Consider the following 21,706-nt stretch of genomic DNA (forward strand, 5'->3'; position numbering starts at 1 on the left):
AATGTTTTTACTAGTTATACAATCCAACATATTTTCCTTAACTCACGTTTGTACTTTCACCTACTTAAATCAATAAAGGTCACAACTTAAATCTTTTAAGTTAAGGCCGAGTGTGGTGGCTCACGCCTGTAATCCCAGCAATTTGGGAGGCTGAGGTGGGCAGATCATCTGAGGTCAGGTGTTCGAGATCAGCCTGGCCAACATGGTGAAACCCTGTCTCTACTAAAAATACAAAAAATTAGCCAGGCGTAGTGGCGGGTGCCTGTAATTCCAGCTACTCCTGAGGCTGAGGCGGGAGAATCTCTTGAACCCAATGGGGGGAGGTTGTAGTGAGCTGAGATCACGTCACTGCACTCCAGCCTGGGCAACAGAGTAAGACTCCATCTCAAAAAAAAAAAAAAAAAAGAAAGAAACTTTTAAGTTAAATAGCTTAAAATATAAAGGGAAATAAAAAACACTTTATTTCTAATTTCTTATATAACGACCAATTTGATCCTCAGAAAATTTTAAAATTAAGAATTTTATTATAGAAGTAATCAATTGAAGGAATATCAGAAAATGTAGATATGTAGGAGGAAAAACAAATCAGAAAATCATGTGTTACAACAGGTTCATCATTTGTAACAAATGTACCCCTCTGCTGGGGGATGTTGATAACAGGGGGAGGCTCTGCATGTGTGGGGACAGGAGGTAGATAGGAAATCTTGGTATGTATGTAGCTCATATGCCAAACTATTATTAGCTTATATCAATATTAGATATATATCCCTTCTGCTATTCCAGAAGGGATCATCTAGTCATATGTTTTTATAACATGATTTTTTTTTCATTTATTAGTCTATTTTCAGTATCTTTCTGGTTCATTCAAAGTAATGATAAGCTGATGCTATAATGTCCCATCCAGATCTCCCTTCAGAACTAGAAGACTTAATTACCCATCTGTATGCTGCTGGCAGGCGCCCCTTAGCCCTCTACTCCATTTAGAACTGTTGGATGAAGGTATTTGCCTTGCCCAAGGGAAAACCCATATCCATCAGCTGCAGGCTTCCAGTGGCTGCAAGATGCAGGGATATAAAGGCTAGGCTCTCTTGCCCTGGCTTGGGATAATTCTTAAGGGTTATTCCAGCTTCAGAACCCCCTGTAGGGTAGACTGAGGCCTTCATTGGGACAGCACTATAGCCCCTCTTCTCCCTCTGCTCAGTCCTGCCAACCCATGACTTCCTTTCCAGAGACACGACCCTAGGAGTACTCCTTTGTCAACTTCCTATATGTTATTCTCGGTCTCAGAATTTTTTCTCTGGGGGGCCCAATCTATAACAGCTACATTGGGAGTGGTCTGAGAAAGCAGACTCTATGATACAAGTTTCTAGCTGGTTCACTTTCTCCCCAAGACCCTGTGAGTGGTGGTGGATGGAGTATAGACAACCCCTGGCCCAAGGAAGCAGAGCATTGTTAAAGCTTTCACTGAATGGGGAACTGGAATGGGATATTGGTAGAAGAGAAATGCACTAACTAGTGCTATGTCTTCATCAATAGCAATGGGGATCAGAGAATCCCAAACATTAGAGACTAAGTGGTGGCATTTGACCACAGAGGCCAAGTCAGTGCAATTAATGTATTGAGTAAGGTCAGAATGAAGTGCAGGGGGACCTGCCCCACAGAAAGTTATGTAGTTGGTTCAATGAGATTTCATCTCACTCCAGTTAAAATGGCTTGTATATAAAAAACAGGCAATAACAAATGCTGGTGAGGATGTAGAGAAAAGGGAGCCCTCCTACGCTATTGGTGGCAATGCAAATTAGTACAATCACTATGGAGAATAGTTTGGAGTTTTCTTAAAGTCTAAAAGTAGAGCTACCATATGATTCAGCAATCCCACTGCTGGGTATACGCCCAAAAGAAAGGAAATCAGCATATCGAAGAGATATCTGCTCTTCCATGTTTATTGCAGCACTGTTCACAATAGCTAGGAATTTGAAGCAACCCAAGTGTCCATGAACAGATGAGTGGATAAAGAAAATGTGGTATGTGTATGCAATGGAATACTATTCAGCTATAAAAAAGAATGAGGTCCTGTCATTTGCAACAACAGGATGGAACTGGAGATCATTATGTTAAGTGAAATAAGCCAGGCACAGTAAGACAAACATCACACGTCCTCACTTATTTGTGGGTGCTAAAAGTCAAAACAATAAAACTCGTGGAGATAGTAGAGGAATGGTTACCAGAGGCTGGGAAGGATAGTAGAGGGGGTGGGGAGGAGAAAGGGATGATTAATGTATACAAAAAAAAAATAGAAAGAATGAATAAGACCTACTATTTGATAGTACAATAGAGTGACTATAGTCAATAATAACTTAATTGTACATTTAAAAATAACTAAAAGAGTATAATTGGATTGTTTGTAATACAAAGGAAAAATGCTTGAGGGGATGGATACCCCATTCTCCATGATGTGATTATTACGTATTGCATGCCTGTATCAAAACAGCTCACATACCCCATAAATATATACACCTACTATGTACCCCAAAATTAAAAATAATAAAATTTTAAAAATAAAATGAAAAAAGAGAAAATTATATAATTGGCTAATAGAATATACTATCCCTGGGGGAAACTAGATAGGCAGCCAACAGGGTGCTACTCAAGCTGTTCGATCAAAAGAAATCACGGATGAATGCCATCAGGAGACTGAGGGTCATCACACTTATATATATAAAAAAAATCACAGTCTCTTGCTTACTTTCTGACCCTGAGACAGTTTTTATTCTTAGGAACCCCTGCCCGAAGGAGCTGCCATCCCCAGGATAAAGGATCCTACAATATCATGCATGACAAGAAGATGTGGTAATGGATCCCCAGTCCTCCTTCAAAGGGACCTATGGCCGTTTATTTGGGAGACCATATACTAGGGAAAGGGGAATACCTAACTAAACACAGGCTCGAAGTTAACATTGATATCCAAAGACCTGAAGCATCATGATGTGGTCATATAGAAGTCAAGTAATAAGTAGAATCCTGACCCAGGCCTGGCTCACAGTGGCTCCACTGGGTCCACGGATCCATTTGGTGGTCAGTTCTCTGTTCCCAAATGTGTAATGGGAGAAGGTATACAGACGGTCCCCAACTTACAGTGGTGTGACAGGATTTTTCAGCCATATGAGGGTATGAAAGTGATAAGCATTAAGTAGAAACTGTACTTCAAGTCCCATTGAGACATTCTATTTTTCACTTTCAGTACAGTATTTAATAAATTACATGAGATAGTCAACACTTTATTATAAAATAGACTTTGTGTTAGATAATTTTGCCCAATTATAGGTTAAGGTAAGTGTTCTGAGCAAATTTAAGGCAGGCTAGGCTAAACTGTGATGTGCAGTAGGTTAGGTGTATTAAATGCATTTTTGACTCAACAATATTTTCAAGTTATGGTGGGTTAATCAGGACGCAACCCCCTTGTAAAATAAGGAGCATGTGTACTTTGTATTTGACACAATCCTGTATTCCCTCAACTTTTGAATGAGATCTATCATAGTAGGAAGGCCAAGTGGAGCTCTGAATCCTGCAACTTGCTCCCCACTCCCAGCCAAAATAATCAATCAAAAATAATATCACACACCAGCCACCTTTAAAGATGAAAAGATGCTGAGGTTGTGGGCCCCATCATATCTCTGTTTAATTCGTCAGTCTGGCCCCGGCAAAAACCAGATACTGGAGGATGACAGTGGACTACTGCAAACTCAGACATGTAGTACTCACAATTGCAGCTGCTGTGTCAGGTGTGGTCTCTTTGCTACAGCAGATTAACTAGGTCTTAGGTCCATGATAGGTGGTCATTGATCTGGAAAGAGGATCAAAAACCATTCACATTCATTTGGAACGGACAAGAGATTACATTTACAATCTTGCCCTGGGACTATATTAACTCTCCTGTCCTCTATCATAATATTGTCTGAAGAGTCTTGAGTGGTTGAACAGCTTGCCAGACATCACATTGGTCCACTGTAGTGATGACATCCTGCTGGCTTGCCTGTTGGTGAGACAACATCCCCTCCAGAGAGTGAGAGATAAACTTGACAAAGATCCAGAGGCATTTTCACATTAGTGAAAATTGTGAGGATCCAGTGGTGTGGGCATGGGGAAAATCCCCAAACCCACTACAAAATAAAAAATAAATTATTTCATCTTGTATCTCCCATCATAAAAAAAGAAAGCATAACCCCTCATTGGGTTCTGGAAATAGCGTATTTCACACTTGCAAATACTGCTCTGATCCATATGTCAGATGACACAAAAAGCTACTGGATTTAAGTAGAAATCAGGATGTTTGCTGTAGCAGGTCCAGGCTGTGGTACAAGCAGCCCTTCCATTTGAGCCATATGATCCAGCAGAACCTATGATATTAGAGATGTCATGGTGGGAAAAGACACCATGTGGTTTTTGTGACAGGCCCCAGTGGAAGATTCACATGACAGAGCCCTGGGTTTTTGGAGCAGAAGTATGCCATCTGCCATGGAGAATTATACACCTTTTGAAAACAGCCCCCAGCCTTGTGCCCTAGTAGAGATGAAGTGCTGGATCATGGAACACCAAGTGATCAGGCCGCCAGAACAATTCATCTTGAGCTGGGTCCTGTCAGACCACCAAGTCGTGAGGGTAGATGAGCCCAGTTCAAATCATCATAGGATGCAAGTGGCATATCCAGGATCCAGCATGGCTGGAGAGCACAGGGAAGCTATACAAGGTAGCCCAGGACCCCACGCCACCCACCACTGTTGGGCTGGCCCTTCTCTCTCAGCTGGTATCTGTGGCCTCCTGTGAATCCTTCATGACAAACTGACAGAGGAGTAATAAGCCCTCTTTGGTTCATGGGTGTGTCAGCCCGGGTGTGCTGTGTGTGCAAACTGAAAAGAGATGGCAGTTGCACTGCTGCCATACTCAAGAGTAGGGGGAAATCTTCCCAATGATGGAGGTTTGGGTGGTGCACCTGGTTGCCCAGTTTGTGTGGAAAGAGAATGGCCTGAGGGTAGAATATGCACAGACTCTTACTTGGGCTGTGGCAAATAGCCACCTTTTGATGGTCCTGGGAGGAGGATTGGAAGATAGGAGACCAGGGGTAGAGGCCTGTGGATCAACATGGGAATGGCCATGCAGTGTGAAGGTCTTTCCCTTGCTTATTAATGCCCACAAGAAAGCATCCACCATGGGAGAGTAAGTACTTGGTTAGTAGGCACAATAACTTAGCCTGGTTGACACCAGCCAGCCTCTATCATCACCCTGGTCTTGGCACATTGAATGCTCGAACAGATTAGTCATGGAGGCTAAGAATGGAAATGAGGAGTGAGCAAGCCAGAATGAAGCTCTATGGAGAGAGGGCTGGATGAGAAAATCTTCTCTGGCCAGAAGAGTAACCTTAGAGGCTAGAAGAACTGAAATGTTGGGAAGAACTGAAATGTCTACTGAAATAAATATAAATGAATGGAAATTTATGAAGTGTTTTGCTGTGTGGCTGAGTTAGGGTTAGGAATCCTTATACAATTTCACCAACCAAATACGATATAGCTGCCATTGCCAAACATCCAAGCTGTGTATAACAGAGATCAGTTGTGAGACCCAGATACAGTGCCAGCTACCTGTGGCAAGTCGACCACATTGGGCTCCTTCTACCTGAAAAAAAGCAGCATTCACCTCGACTGGAAGAGATACATATTTCGAACCTATGTTTGCCTTTCCTGTCTTCAAGATCTCAGCCAGTATCACATTCCAAAAGCTTATGAAGTGTTTGGTCCATCTGCATGGGATTACACATAACATTACATCAGACCAAGACCCTCCTTTCCATACTCATGGGATCCACTGGTCATACTACATGTGACACATCCAGATATTGCCAGCCTGCTAGAATGATGGAACGGGAATATGAAGGCATAGCTGCAGTGCCAGCTTGCAGGATGGGGAACAACCCTTGCAAATGCAGTTGTCACTTTAAATAAAAAAACTTAAATGAAGACGTGTCCCAGTAAGTGGAATATGTGGATCTAGGAACCAATGGAAGTAGGAGTCATCCTACTTACCATCTCTCCTGGTAATCCACTGGGATTGTGTACCTCCTGTCTTCTCAATGCTGAGCTATTCAGCCACAGAGATCATGTTTCCCAAAGAGGAAACACCTCTGGCCAGGAGACACATGGCTTTGTGTGTAGCCAACCCTAGGTTCAATGAGACTTTCCTTGGGCACCCTTATAAAATAGCCGTTTCTTCTACATTTGAATTTATCTCCCTTTCTTCCTTCTTCTGCCTGGCACTTACCACTATCTGAATTATATTGTTTATTTATTTGTTTACTTGCATGTTGTTTTTCTCTCTCCTCCACTGAAGTGTAATTTCCAGCAGATTAGAAACATTTACTTGTTCTCAGCTGTGTCACTTGTGCCTAGAATAACACTGGCCACATTGCAGGCAATTGATAAACACTTGCCACATGAATGAATGACTCTATAATGTAATTTTTGCATGCAGATAGTCCTCAATTGTAAGGATTTATCACAATTTATTTAACCAATCATTTTCGGCAGTTTATATTCCTCACAAGTTTTCTCCATTGAAATAATGGCAGGCAAAATCATGACCTATTACTTCCATAAGATGAGGTCCAAGTACTACAATTGCTGGCACAAAAGGTATGACTCTCAGTTTTTTCAGGCTTTTGATATGTGATGCTTCATGGGTTTGCTCTGAAAGTATTCATATATTATAAATGTAATCCAGATTTAGCTGTCCTCTTGTCAAACAGGCTGTTGACCAAATGTAAAACCAGCATTCTGACCTAGCAAGCTTCAACATTTTATGTAAGAAACACAGCCATATTCAGAATGTTAAATTCTGTTTTTCATTGCCTTTGCTGAAGATCATACAGGAGTCTGTATCCCTAACTCTAACAACTCACAATAAAACACTTCGTAAATCCCAGTTAGACATTTTAGTTTTCTGTATCATCTCCCAGGGATGCTCTCTTGGCTGGGGGAATGTTTTTCCTCCAGCCTCTCTTTATAGAGCCACATTCTTGCCTACTTCCTTCTTCTTCTCCTTATTGCATTTTCTCCCCCCTAGAAACTTCAATTACTCCCGCTATTTTATCATGTAGAGCACCTGCTCACTTTCTTATGAAACTAGGGCCCCGCGCAGAGAGGCAGGTGGTTGCTACTAGCTTGTACTATTTTCTTTAGGTCTCAACATGTTTGTGTCTCTTCCTACAAAGAAATTCTCTGACCCTAACCACATAGAGGAAAACATTTGTTCTTCTCCTTTTTCCCTTAAGTTACTTCCTTAGAGCGCTGAAAGCCAAATTCTGACATTCTCATGCTATCTGTATCGTGGGATTCTACTGGGAGTCATGCATTACCTATATTTGATGGATGTACTTGGTACACTCAGGCTTCCTCCGTAAGTCATTCCTTCTTCCCCTCCCCTCAGTGCCTATTTGTCTCAGGTCTTGAGCTTCAGGTACTGAAAGATTTGAACTGGAGTCTTATCTCCACAACTTACTAAGTTTGTGAATTTAAACATATTTTACTACTCTGAGTCATTGTATCCACATCTATAAAATAGCACCTACCTATGAAGAGTAAATGTGTTAACACACACAAGTTAGCACAGTGGCCTGAGAAAATGCCCAACAAATGTTGACTGTTATTATGCCACTCTTCTTTTTGGCATTTCTGCCCTCTCGATACCTTCTTGGTATAGGCATTAATTTGTTAGTTTCCCTAATTTCTTCATCATTCATCTTTCCTCTGTAGAAACCTCAGATGAGGTTAAGTGAAACCCGCTACCGTGTCTTCACTTCTCAGAGGATACTTTGTTCCTCTTGTCTTCTTCTTGTACTTTCTTATTTATCCTTAGCTTCTGGAAATACCTTTCTTTGCCTATAGTGCCCTTGAACTCTATCTTCTTCATTTCCTGTGGTTTATTTAAGTTCCTGCTTACCACCTCTTCTGTCTCCTCCAGTCTCTGATGACTTTCCTTTGTGCCTTTGGACACTCAGATTTCTTTTCCCTTTTCATACTTGTCCTTCACATTTGGCTCAGTGACACTATTCTCTTATGCATACAAATTCTTTTCATCTTTGTAGAGATTACATGTAATTCTCTTTTACAGAGAGAAACAGCATTCATTTATTCATTCATTGAGTGAATGTTATTGAGAGCCTGCTATCTTCAAGGGACTGGATCGAGTCTTTGGGAGACAGAAATTAAAGGCACAGTTCCTGCTCTTGAAGAGCTCACAGTCTATTGGGGAAGAAGATGAATAAACAAATTCCACTTTGGTAACGTGTCTATGAAAGGGCCAATGCAAGGTGAATTGAGAAGGGGCAATTAGTAGAAATTGAGGTGGAAGGAAGAGGTGTGAAGGAAAGCATTCCAGAACTGTTGACATCAGAGTTGAGTTTCAAAGCATGAAAAGAAATAAGCCAGGAGGAGTGGGCTGTGAATATGTTGGGAGTGCAGATTCTAGTTAGGGGGGGCAATGTTTGCCTCTGCATTACGTCAAATCCTTCATAGTTGTGGAATATAAAGTAGTTCAGCCACTGTGGAAAGCCGTTTGGAGATTTCTCAAGGAACTAAAAACAGAACTATCATTTGACTCAGCAATCTCATGACTGAGTATATACCCAAAGGAAAAGAAATCACTCTACCAAAAAGACACATACAGCTATATGTTCATCACAACACTATTCATAGTAACAAAGACATGGAATCAACCTAGGTGGCCATCAACAGAGGATTAGATAAAGAAAATGTGGTACACATACAACATGGAATACTCTGCAGCCATAAAAAGAATGAAATCATGTCCTTTGCAGCAACATGGATGCAGCTGGAGGCCAATATCCTAAGTGAACTAATGTGAAACAGAAAACCAAACGCCGTATGTTTTCATTTGTAAATGAGAGCTAAACATTGGATACACGTGGTCAGAAAGATGGGAACAATAGATGCTGGAGACTACTAGAGGGAGGGAGGAGGGAGGGAGGAGGGAGGGAGGGAGGGGGACAAGGGCTGAAAAACTACCTGTTGGGTACTATGCTCAGTACCTGGGTGATGGGTTCAACTGGACCCTAAACCTCATCATCACACAATATACTCTTGTAACAAACCTGGACGTGTACCCCTGAATCTAAAATAAAAGATGGAGGAAAAATCTTTCATAGCTGAATTACTTGACTACTCATTGTATCAGATGATTTTTTGAAACCTAGCTACAGGATGTCCTGTAGCTGCATTCCTTATCAATGATAACCTTTCTTGACTAACAAATAAAAAGAATTGCTGCTTAGGTAATCCTGTGTTCTTTTTTGATAAAGCCCTATTTCATATTTACCTCCTTGCCAATCTAAACTAGTCTATAATTTTTAAACCTACTGTTTTATTCATGAAGATGATAAAAATGTTGTTTGCACTGATCTGTTAAATAAAATAGCCACACAGTTCTGACATCTTTTCTTCTGATGTATTTTCTAAACTTTGCATAAAAGTTCTCACTTCTAATGGTTTTAATTACTGCAAATAAATATGCCCCATGGGTTTATTCCAATGAATTGATAACCAGGTTCCCTCCCATCTTATGGTCTCTTGACTTCATAACAAAACTATCTTCAAAGGGGTCCAGTCTTCACAGGATCCATATTTGTTATTACTATTTTTGTAGTGCCCTCCTCCTTCCTGCTCTTCCCACTCCTCCTCCTTCCCCTTCCTTCCTCGTTTGCCCTTTCTTATCATCCCTCAACTCACAACAGAAGCTTGTAGCTCAGTAAATAACAAGGTGAGCCCAAGCACATAGGGTGGAGGCTTGGAAAAGAAATGTGGACACTGAGGTAAGATAGGCCCTTGATATCGACCCAGCCAAAGGCAACCTGAGGAACTCTAATGATAAAGGCATAGCATAGTATTTGAAGTTATTTGAAAGTATTCAGTATTTGTAGAACACAGGGATAGGCAATAATAAGCCATCAGGCAGATGGGAAACCTGGCTGGAATTTTTATTGTCTTTGTGTTGAAATTATACATTAATTGAGAAAGAATTAAAATATTTTAAATATCAAGTCAGCAACCATGACTGTGGTATATGTTTTCATTTATTCAGTCTTCTTTTATGTCTCTTAGTAGAATTTTAATATTTGTTTCCATAAATGTACATTTATTGTAAATTTGACTCTCAGATGCATTACAGTTCTCTTCTTATTGTGAATGGTACTTAATTTTCTGCTGGTTAGTGCTGGGATGGGGGAACACTATTGACTTTTGTAAGTTGAACTTGCCTTAAGGCAAATTTGCCAAACCCTGGCTACTTTTAATAGTCCGTTGGCTCTCTTGATTTTCTATGTAGATGATCATACTGTCAACAATGAATGACAATTTAATATCTTTTATTCCAGTGCTGGTGTACCAGTTATCAGTTGCTGCAAACAAATTATCCCAAAACTTAGCAGCTTAAAACAATAGACATATATGATCATACATACAGTCTCTGAGGTCAAGAATCCTGGAATCTGACCTAGTGTCATAAATGACACAGCATTACTTCACCTTATTCTATTTGTTAGAAGCAATTCACTAAATTCAGTCCAAACTAAGGGGAGAAAAATTAGTCTCCACTTTTTCAAGGAACTTTCAAAGACTCTGTGAGTATATTTCAAGCCACCGCATCCTGTAATCTTTTATCCTTCTTGTTTTCTATTTTTTAATTCTTGTTGGCAACAACATCCCATGACAGGTTATATAGCAGCAGAGACAAAGGAGAATTTGTTTTGTTCCAGATATTAAAGGAATAGAGCCTGAGGTTTATCCACCAGCTATCATGTTGATGTTACTTTTTTGGTATAGCATCTATAGCAAATGAAAGTCCTCTTCTATTCCTGGCGACTGAGATTGTTATTGTTTTATCACAAGGAAATATAAATTTCATGAAACTCTTTTGCATTCATAGATGTTTTTCTTTCTTTTCTCCTTTAACACTGGGGTTTCTGATATTAAACCATTGTATTTTTGGGAAAAACCACACTTGGCTTGTTGTTAAATACATTATTTGGTATTTACTTAGATCACATGTTATATAGAATTTTTCCACCTATACTCATAAGTTAAATAGACCTGCAATTTTTTTCTTGTGCTGTCCATACTGGTTTTAGAAATCAACGTTTTATTAGCCTCCTAAAATGAGTTAGGCTGCTTTCCTCCTTTTCTGTGTTCTTTAACTTGGAGGTTTTGTGGCATGCCTCTGTTACAGAGTGGCCTTCTTTTCCTTTCCACACTTCCATCTTCTCATGCCTGGTTTGGTTTACATGCACCCCTTCATGGTCTGTGCCTTCTTTTCTGACTCTGTGTTGCTTATATACAGCAGGCAGTGAAAATTTATACCGTTGGGCTCAGATGTGCATTTAATGGTAACAATTTTTTATGACTGACTCAAACTTCCTTATGATCCCTTCATGAGGTCAGTGATAGAGGCAGGGAAGGACAACATAAGGGTATGTGGTGGTACTGAAATTTGCAAAATATAAAGAAAGTATCTCAGTAACATGGTTTAACACAATTGCATTTTGAATAAATATTCTCTCCCCTCTCTCTCTCTCTTAGGTTCTAAGATGATTTCTTTGGTTCGAGGCACATTTTCTTGCATTTGTATTGATGACGGGAAGGGAAGCTGGCTATCTGCATATGTGTTTACTTGACAACAGACAAGCTGAAGAGGCATCGGAAGACCAGAGGGCAGCCCAAGCAGTCCCTCTAGTCACAACACAGGCACATAACATACGCAGATGCCTTCTTAGGAAAGTAGTCATGGGGATTGGGGAAGTTTTGAGACAAGACAAATGGCCATTGAACTTGAATGAAAATAAACCAACCTGAATGAAACTTTTAATACTGAGAGACACTGAACTTACTTTAATTAGGAAGTTTAAGTATTTTTTCCTTACTACTCAGTTATAGAAACATAAAGAATGCTCCAATGTTTACATATTTCAGTGTGGTGGATAAAAATCTGACCCTACTACAATGAGACTAACAATTTTGGCTTCCTTAATTTGGAACCTTACCCATTGGAGACCTTGTTTCCTGGTCTCCCCAGATCCTATCCCCTTCCTGGTTCTGCGCCAGAGAAACGGGTACTGGGTAGAAAGCTGCAGTCCATACTGGCTATACTGCTAGTGAGCTATATGACCACTCTGCCTCTTAATTTTCTAACCCATAAAATGGGAAGACTAAAATAAATGAACCTTGAAATCTTTCCAGCTTATGGATATTTTTTTCACAATCTTCCCCCATCCCAGCACTTTCTTCTCTTTCTCTTCAGGGTGTATTTCAAGTGAGAGGATAGTCAGATTTTCCTAATCAATGATTCAATTTTATTTGCTCCCTTCATTGATGTCTCTGTGGATTTGACTTAGGAACAGGTCACGCTGTGTCTATAAAATGATAACACTGGTTCAAGTCCAGTTAGATTCCATAGCTGCTCTATATGGCATATTGCTCCTCTCACCTCCCTCCTTCCCCACTTTCTTCTTCAGAATAGTTCATTGTGAAGAATTCCACTGGCATTTCATACCCTTCAAGTTCTACATCATACAGCTGGTGTGGCTCTAAACGTAGGTTTTAAAAATCAAAAGCACCAAAGCAGAGAGTCTGGCTGGATCAGGAAAGCAATAGTGCAATTTTCTGATAACACTGTTTCCCCAACAAAACATAAATCTGAACAAATGAATCTTACAGAATCACTGGTGCTGGGGAGAATTCTTTTTTTTTTTTTTTTTTTTTTTTTGGTGCCTGGTAGGGTTATTTCCCATCTTCCAAAGCCTAAGCCCTAATGAGCTCCAGGGGGACAGAAGTCTGTCAATCACAGGGTACTTTTCAAGTATAGTCATCTCTGCCCCATCAGAGAACCACGAGGCATGAAATAATTAGAAAGCCCAGAATAACTGCTCTGTTTTACAAGAGCAAAATCCGTATGTGGATCATTTACATAAACTTGTCACTTCCCATTACAGTTCTAATGTCGGCTGGGTAGTAATCGCAGGCATGCTGGGGGAGGGGAGGTCAAGGTAGGCTGCGCCTCCATACTGGAAGCCTAAGGTACGCATGTGCTGTGCCTGTCACCACCCCCACCTGCACTGCCTACTGAATTAATGGAAAGTATCTTTTCTTTTCCATTAAATAAGAACTATTCATGCTGCTATGGCAGCAGACCCTGTGCTTAAGAGAGAGAAAAAAAGCGCTTTTGCATCAAGCTATTGTTGGGGGAGAATTCACTTTGAGGAGTATTTCAAAGCTGATCCGATTGGGGAAAGAATCATGTTAAATATTTGCTATGAAATATTTATAAGAAGAGCACAGGAGCAATTGACAAAGTTGCCTGGGAAAATAATCATTTCTCCTCATTTGGACATTTTAGGTTGGGGGGTTTAAATGCCCTACGGAGAACTTATATAAGTGCAAATACATGTGTGATGTGTGTTCACAAATGCGCGTGTGCATACACACATACAAGCACACTCACACACATGGTTGAATGGATTGATAGGATTTAAGCCAATCTGCATCTGAATGCTATTTCCCAAATACGGCAGCAATAAGAGGTCACTGAGGACTCTCTTGATAATTGTGTTTGAAGAAGCCCTGTGCTGATGCCGGCAGAGCAGGGCGCCTTAGCTGTACCCAGGCAGCCATGGCCATGTGGCAGGCAGCCATCTTACAGGTGCTTTTTATATACCACACCCTAAGAAAGGGACTCTTGAAGGGGACAGACTCCCCTCAACCCTACCCTTTATTCCATCAGTTTGATACCCGGGTGTATGCATTGAGAAAGGAAAAGGATGATTTGTTTGAAGCCAGAATAAATGTTATCAGAGTACAGTGTTGCCATCTATGTGGCTTGTGGGTTAAAAAGAAATTAGCACCGAAACCCTGCCCACCTGAATATACAATTATGTAATAAAATGTGGCAGATGATTTATTGACTTATATGGTTAAAAGAAGGTCTGTATCAACTGTATATAATTTCAATATCTGTGGGGCTCTTCTCTGTATCAGGAAGAGAGAAATGAAAATATTCTGTTTTCATGCAATGTGTCCAATAAATAAATCACATATTTAACTCAGTATTTGCCACATAAGCCTTGCAATCATTTTATGTAGTATTTTATACTACTGTGAAACTAGTGTACTGTAGTGTGATTAGCATAAGCAACCAAAGAGCTAACTAGGTAGTGTATACCTTGTTACTGATGCTTATTTTAGCCTAGAAATTCTATAGAGGATTTTGCTCTATGCCAGTTTTATTAATCAACAAGCACATAGGCTTCTGGCCAAAAGGGTGAGTGCTCTGAAATGTCCAGCTGCAGTCATCTCTATAGTATCCGACTTTGTCTGAGAGGACCAAGATCACCTAGCAGTGACGCAGGCAGAAGGAAGATGCACGGGCGTGGTGGGGGTCTGAACCACAGCCAGGCTGTTTCTTATCTAAGAGTTCACCAAGTGGGAAAGCATTGTGGATGGATTTAAATCAGCTTTTTTCTCCAACCCCCCTCCCTTGCACACAACAAAAGTCTAAATCCCTTTTCAGGCCAGATTGCCCCATTTCCCTGCATGGGCCAGGCAGATTGGAAACATGTTTGTCATTCAGCTTTTCTCCGGGCTAATCAGGAGACACTGGGGTGGTGGGATTTCTGCCTTTCATCTATGGAGCCTGCCTCTAAAAACAGCCGTGCAGAGGCCTCTAGGCCTGCTCGAGAGCTGGGCTGCCTGTCATCTCTGCAGACAGATATAAAAATATTGTTAACCACGAGCCTAAGCAGAGGGTTTAACAGGGATTTGAATCTAAAATGTGATACTCCACATAGACCAACTTGATTTGGTCCAACAGAGCCGAACCCCTTATTCTGTTCTAACAAAGTGTGTCACATAATGGAGGAGATTTTGATGGGATTTACGACGTCTCTGTTTCAGGCCTGTTGCTGAATAGATGTAAACTGTGAATGAACGTAGCTGCCTCCTGAGCTATCATGACAAGAGGCCTTGGTCCATCTGACTGACGCATCAAGGTCTTATTGGAGGACAGCTTTCAAGTTCACGGGGGTGCTCTCCCGAGCATGCAGTGGCAGCTGTGCCAGGCAGGTGTGAAGCAGTGAGGTTCCTTGTGGAGCCACAGCCAGTGTCAGAGGGTTGCTACACACTGATTCCCATAACTCCTATATTGGGAACTTAAGTGACCTTTTGAACCTGACAATTCTGGACAATATTACTTGTAAAGACAATGGACACCAATCATGAGGAGGGAGTATAAAGTGGTGGCTAGAGTCTAAGAGGGCATAGTTTGACTCTTGGCTTCTCCACTCACCAGGAAACCTGGGCTAGATCACTCTCAACAACTCGGTTTCTTCATCTATAAAATGGGAATAACAATTGTATTTTCTCCCTTAAATTGTTTTGAGGAATATGGGAGGCTGTGCATGTTCAGGACTAAGTCTAGACCATAAATCCTTGATATACAACATTGCTAGCTACTGCTTGCAGCTCCATGGCAGTTAAGAAGAGCTTGGGACATTACCTGAACCACAGGCTGACTCACTCATAGCTCCACTGTCTGAAAAAGCAATGGACAACATTCCAGAAGCAGAAATGAGGCAATGACATCCAGTCATATCCATCTGCCAAGAGACTCTTTTGGAAAGTCCTACATTTCAGGCATAAGCAAAATCTAGAAAATAATATAATGAACACTCATAGATGTGTCACAGAACTTTGACAAATTTTAATGTTTTGCAGGGTTTATTCTGATGGTAGGAAATAAACCGCTCAGAATTGTGTTGAGTTACTCAGTGCCTCTCCTTGAGCCCATTCTTCTTCTTACCTTCCCCCTTCTGCCCCAAGATAATTACTGTCCTGAATTTGAGTTTTAACAATTCTCGACATGTTTTTTTGAAATTCAAATATGGTATAGCTATGATAATAGCTATAAATATTCATAAACAATACTGAGTTTTGTTTTATACAATTTGGTTTTTATATAAGTGGTATTATATTTAACATATAAGTCCACCATTGGCTTTTTCTCTTAATATTATGTTTTTATATTTAGTCATATTTATACATTTTTATAAACAAAGAGACATAGATTTGTACTGCAGTTTGAATGTCCATTTCATGAATTAATTTTTCCGTTCTCTCATTGGTAGACATTTAGACTATTTCTACTTTTTTCTACTTAAATAGTACCCCAGTAAACACATACCTGTGTGTGTTCTTCTGTGTATAGGTAAGTGCTTGTCTACATTTATACTGTTTGGCTCAGATCCTATTCCCTTAGAGATAATTCAGTATAAATATATATGAGTAGAATTGCTGGTCCTTAGGGACATATATCTTCCCCATTATTAGATGTTACCAAATTGCTTTTAACACCAGCAGAATATGAGAATTTAAGGGAAACATTTAAAGGGAGGGGAATATATTAAATGATGTTTACTCACCCAACTTTCTTTGAGTTTCCAGGAGCTGATTTAGGAGGCAATGCTGCTGCTTTCTTATCAGTAGCTATGGAGTGCAGGTTACTTTTTTCCTCCCAATGTTAATTATCCCCTCTGTACACTTCTGTGGTCTTGTATATCCTGCTGTTGATAATAGAATGTGCCTGGAGAAAACCAGACCCTTGACTTGGGTCAAAAGGTTAGGAAACAAATCGTCTCCTGTAGTCCTTAAATACCTTTCTTCCTGAAGAGCCCCACTAAAAGTGAAGCTCCTTAGAAATGAAACAACCAAACTGAAAACGGTTCATTAAAGAATTTCAGGTCTCTCCATTGACTCTCCTTTTGTAATAGGGCACATACACAGAAGGGAGTGGGTAGAGAGACGTAGCTGGACAACAGCATCCTGGACAGGATCTTTCAGCCCCAACCAGAATGGAGTTTGTGATTGTGCTGGAGGAAATACAGTTCACATTTTCAAGAAACCTGATGAGTCAAGTTAAGATTTAAAAGATGCTTGAATGTCTTTTAATAAAATACCAGTCCAGGAATGATTTCACATAATCACACTAGTAAGAAAGCAAATAATTTTATTTTAGTCCTGTGTAAAGTTAATCACAGGAATAGAAAATTAGCAACAGAAAAACAGAGATAGCCAATTGTTTTCAATTCTTTTGGGAGGGGGCATTTCCCTGTGTATATGATAAAGAGTAAATATACGTGTATGTGCTACATGCCGACAATTCCAAAGCCAAATAAAATTATTTTTGTATTACTTGCTATTTTAAATCATGAATGTCATTACTTCCCTTCATTATTATGTCTAATTGTAAGTTGACTGTACCAGGAAATGAACTACAGTTAATTTAACAGTCAACTAGTGACCAAACTGGAGCTATAAAGAGCAGATTGTTGGCATTAATTAGAGGCTTCTGTTTGGCTTTTAGATTCTTATCTATTTGACCTTGTGTCTTCTATAATCTGGCTGAAGGTTTTCTGGGTCAGCTGAGAGCTTCTGAGTCACAGCACTTGGAACTCTGCAGTAGCTTGGTTTCACTGCAGAAATGAACTAACATCAGGATGATAATGCAAAGAATCCCTAACTTTGCCCACAGGTTTTCTCAGCCAGATCCTGAATAAGAAGGAAACTTCTCATGTCGTTCTTTCCCTACTACAAAGCATCTCTCTGTTTAAACAGGTTTTTAAGAAACAGCCGGAATTTGAACACAGATTCTGGGTGCAAAGTTCCCCTGTTACCCCCTACACTATCTCTCACATGAATAGCTGATGCTTTGTTATATGAAGTGCCAGACACTGTGCTAAGAGCTCATGAATTACCTTTCTCAACCCTTGTAAGTATTTTATAATTTAGATACTATTATTATATAAATACGCCAAAATGTAATGACTCAAACTGGATAGAAGTCTGCTTTTCTCATAAGTCTCGTAAATATATGCCTCTGCTCCATCCAGGGACCCAGGATGCTGGGGTGGTTCCTCAGCATGTGTCTTCCATAATTGTTGCAGTTGTTACCATCTATAGGCAGGAGAAAGGGGAAAGAGAGCATGAGGAGTGCACCCCCAGGATCCCTGTGTCCTGACCTAATTCCCATTCCTACTCCCTTAGAGATAATTCAGTCATGGCTGCACCCGGCTGTAAGAGAGACAAGGAAATACAGTCTGGTAGAGCAGGCATGTACTCAGCCATTATTCTACTACTGTGAGAGAAAGGATTTCAGTGCTGGCACTGGTCGTTTATTTATAGACATTCAGGCTTCTTTGAAATCTTATCTAAACCCATTAGGTCTCTGGGCAACTTTCAGTCTCCACCAGTTATCATCTATATTTTACTAATGAGGTAAATTCAATTTAGCAAGTTTGAAAAACTAGCCCAATGTCACATACTTAGTAGAGGCAATGGGATTCAAACCCAGGCAATGTGAGGCTAAAAACTGAGCATTTAAATGCCATCTACACTGATCCTCTGAATAATTAATTCATTGGTGAGTCACTTTTCTCTAAATGGATATTTGTTGTGGGATTCTACTTAACTCTGCTGGAAGATTGCGGTAATCAGAAATTTTCCATTATAGTAACGGTGGAGATGAGTCCTGGCGTTCCACATTGTCTGAGTTCAGGAGGCTAAAAGCCTACAGTGATTATCATGTCTTTGGAAGTGAGGTTTCTGTGGTACAGGTAAAAACCTCAGGATTTTCGTGGTTAGAAGATATTAAGTGACAAAGGAAGGTATTACTTTAAGTCATCTCTAATTAGGTGCTTTGGTTTAACACACCCAGTCAAGGATATTTTGAGCTGAAGCTTAAAAAAACCCAAGCTGCCTCTTTATAAGTCACCATTAATGCGTAGATGAAAGGTATTTTGAACTTGGGGAACTATTGTCCATCAGCTCAACTATGTAGCTCATAATATGACATACAATTAGTGATTTTATTTACATTTCTATTAAGAGTGTTTTTTAGAGGAGGGGCAGTTTGGGTGTTACAAAGAGAGAAACAGGAAAAATTTATATGAAAGGTGAATATTAACTGTATCTAAATAAATGCTATTAATTAATTTTTAGCTCCAAAAATGAATGCTAATTTGTGTAACTCAATAGACGTGTAACCAAAACAAATAATTACCCTCCTTAATTTGAGCAAGGGCTGCTCTTCCTTAAATACCAGTGATCTGAAATCTGATTTTTCTCAGTGTGAACACTTGGGCAAGTTACTTAATCCCTTTAACCTCCTTCATCTGTACAATGGAGACACAAACATTTTTTACTTATAGATTTGCTATGAGAATTAAATGGGATAGTTCACGGAACAACATTAGTATAGTACATGATAAGCAATGAGTAAATGTTGGGGATTATGGCAACTGTCTTCATAGCACATTTGAATTGCTGGTGGAGGTAGGGGTGTGGATAACAAATTCTGTAAGATTGTGAAAACACAGTAATGTGGAGGGAAGGCTTATCCTCATTTAACAAATTCATTCAAAGGGTTAATCCAGAACTTTGCTAATGCCGGCTGTCAAAATCTTGTGATGAACTAAAGATTTCAGTTAATGTCTTTTTTAATCTTCCCAGGCAAAAATAATCATCACTTTCCTTTCTGCGACTTCTTTGCTCTTTCTCCATTCTTCTATCCTTCTACTTAGCACCTTGTGTCACAGGTATTTGTTTGCCTGTTTAGACTCTGCAAACTTCCCTGGTGACCAAGTGACATGTGGAACCCTCCAAGACAGGGACCATATTTCCTGTCTCCCTGCACAGTGCCTGGCATAAAGCAGGGTCTCCATAAATGTTTCTTTAACGAGTGCCTAAATGGCCTGGTGGAGGTTGCTGGCACACTGGAAGAGGAGCCTGGAAGTATGATGTTATATTTTTCTAGTCTGCTAATAATCAAACCTTTTCACACTCAGTTTCTTCATCTGAGAAATATTCCATCCAGTGTGCTTCCCTTGCAGAGATGCTGTGATAATTAATGAACTCATTGGAAAGGAACGATATTCTCTATCCCTTTGAAGTTTGGTTTTACAAGAAGATCTTTATATACAAGGCTGTAAAAATTCTGTTCTCCTTCCTGCCCTTTTTTTCCTCAAGCCCAAAGGTCCAGGAGAGATTATCTGCCTGTGAAACTTCCATTTCATAAATGCCAGTCTCCCCTGTAGTATAACCTGCAGTGTACTCAGCTGGTCAATCCAAGCCCTGAGGCCTTCTCTTTTCACAAATCAATCTGTAAGCCTGCAGACTGGAAGCCCCTGATAGCTTGAGAGCTGCCAACAAATGGGCTAGGGAAAGCCGTGGTTTATTCACAGATGCTCTTGACCTTCTGTGTTCTTTTCGAGGTTGCCCACATCTTCACTGAAGAAACCACTCGAGATGGCTTGGCAGGAGCCACGCTCTGTGCCAGGTGTTGGGCCTGGGTAGTGCACAGACAGGTGAGTTGTTACATTAGAGAGCCATAAGTCCAACGCAAAGAGGTGTGTGGGGGGTAGGTACAGATCAGGAGGTAGCTCAGGCAAGATGAACCTGGGGTACAGTTAAGAGGATTGGAAGCCATGTCAGGCAAGGAGATGGTACCTGGGCCAGGTGTGAGGGATGAAAAGGATAGATTAGCTTTGTGAACTTGCATTTAGCCTCACCGAGCCTCCATTTCCTCATCTGTAAAATAGGTATAATAACAACAAGGGGGTTAAAAAATAGATAAATAAAATGATTTTGTAAATTATAAAATGCTTTATAAATATCAATTATTATTTGTATCTTCTAGTTGTCTTCCATAAGCTAAGCAGCCGAAGACATGGCATTTAAGACCAGCCAAAGCTGAGCTGACATCAGTGCTACCAACATTATGCTCTTCCCTGGGTGTGGTGCACCGAGCCCTCCACAAGGTGAGGATCAGGTACTGGGGTGGGGAGTGGTAAGAAGGCAGGGGATGGAAGACTTTGGTACAGTCCTTTCATGCTGGCAGCAACCACCCACGGTAGTGTACAGTGGCATACAAACTGGGATGCAAAAGAAAGAATGCACTAAGTTTTAGGTAACTGCTAGTATCCATAAAATAACATAATTTAGAGAGCAACAAGATGCTTTTCTACATGTTTGATTGCGACCCCACCTGAGTTGAATTTCCATAAACTGTTTCATCTCTGCACTCATAAATTTAGGAACGTTACTCATTCCAGTACCAAAAATTCTAGCCTCTTGACCCTCCAGCCGCCTTTCAACTTTATCTAGTAATCATTCACTTGTCAATAGCTTCAACTGCTTTGTCTTTTTTTTTTTTTTTTTTTGAGAGTTTCTCTCTGTCACCCAGGCTAGAGTGCAGTGTCATGATATCAGCTCACCACAACCTCCGCCTTCCGGGTTCAAGCAATTCTCCTGCCTCAGCCTCCCAAGTAGCTGTATCTACAGGTGCCCGCCACCATGCCCAACGAATTTTTTTTTTTTTGTATTTTTAGTAGAGATTGGGGTTTCATCATGTTGGCCAGGCTGGTCTTAAACTCCTGACCTCAAGTGATCTGCCCGCCTCGGCCTTCCAAAGTGCTGGATTACAGGTGTGAGCCACTGCACCTGGCCCATCCATTGTCTTGTCAAATCATTTGCCTTTAAACACCCCACCCCAGATCAGTCCAGGCTTAAACTCAGTCTTCCGAGTGTTGTTAGGGAAAATCATG

General features: G+C 40.4%; 1 annotated feature.

Annotated features, from left to right (window-relative positions):
• Window positions 12,547-15,240: an enhancer, noted in NCBI's record as "VISTA enhancer hs1545". NCBI's record gives its function as "enhancer in: midbrain (mesencephalon)[8/8] | forebrain[8/8]" and the evidence as "EXISTENCE:transgenic organism evidence [ECO:0001131][PMID:17130149]".

Source organism: Homo sapiens, chromosome 4 (assembly GCF_000001405.40).
Source record: "Homo sapiens chromosome 4, GRCh38.p14 Primary Assembly".
NCBI lineage: Eukaryota > Metazoa > Chordata > Mammalia > Primates > Hominidae > Homo > Homo sapiens.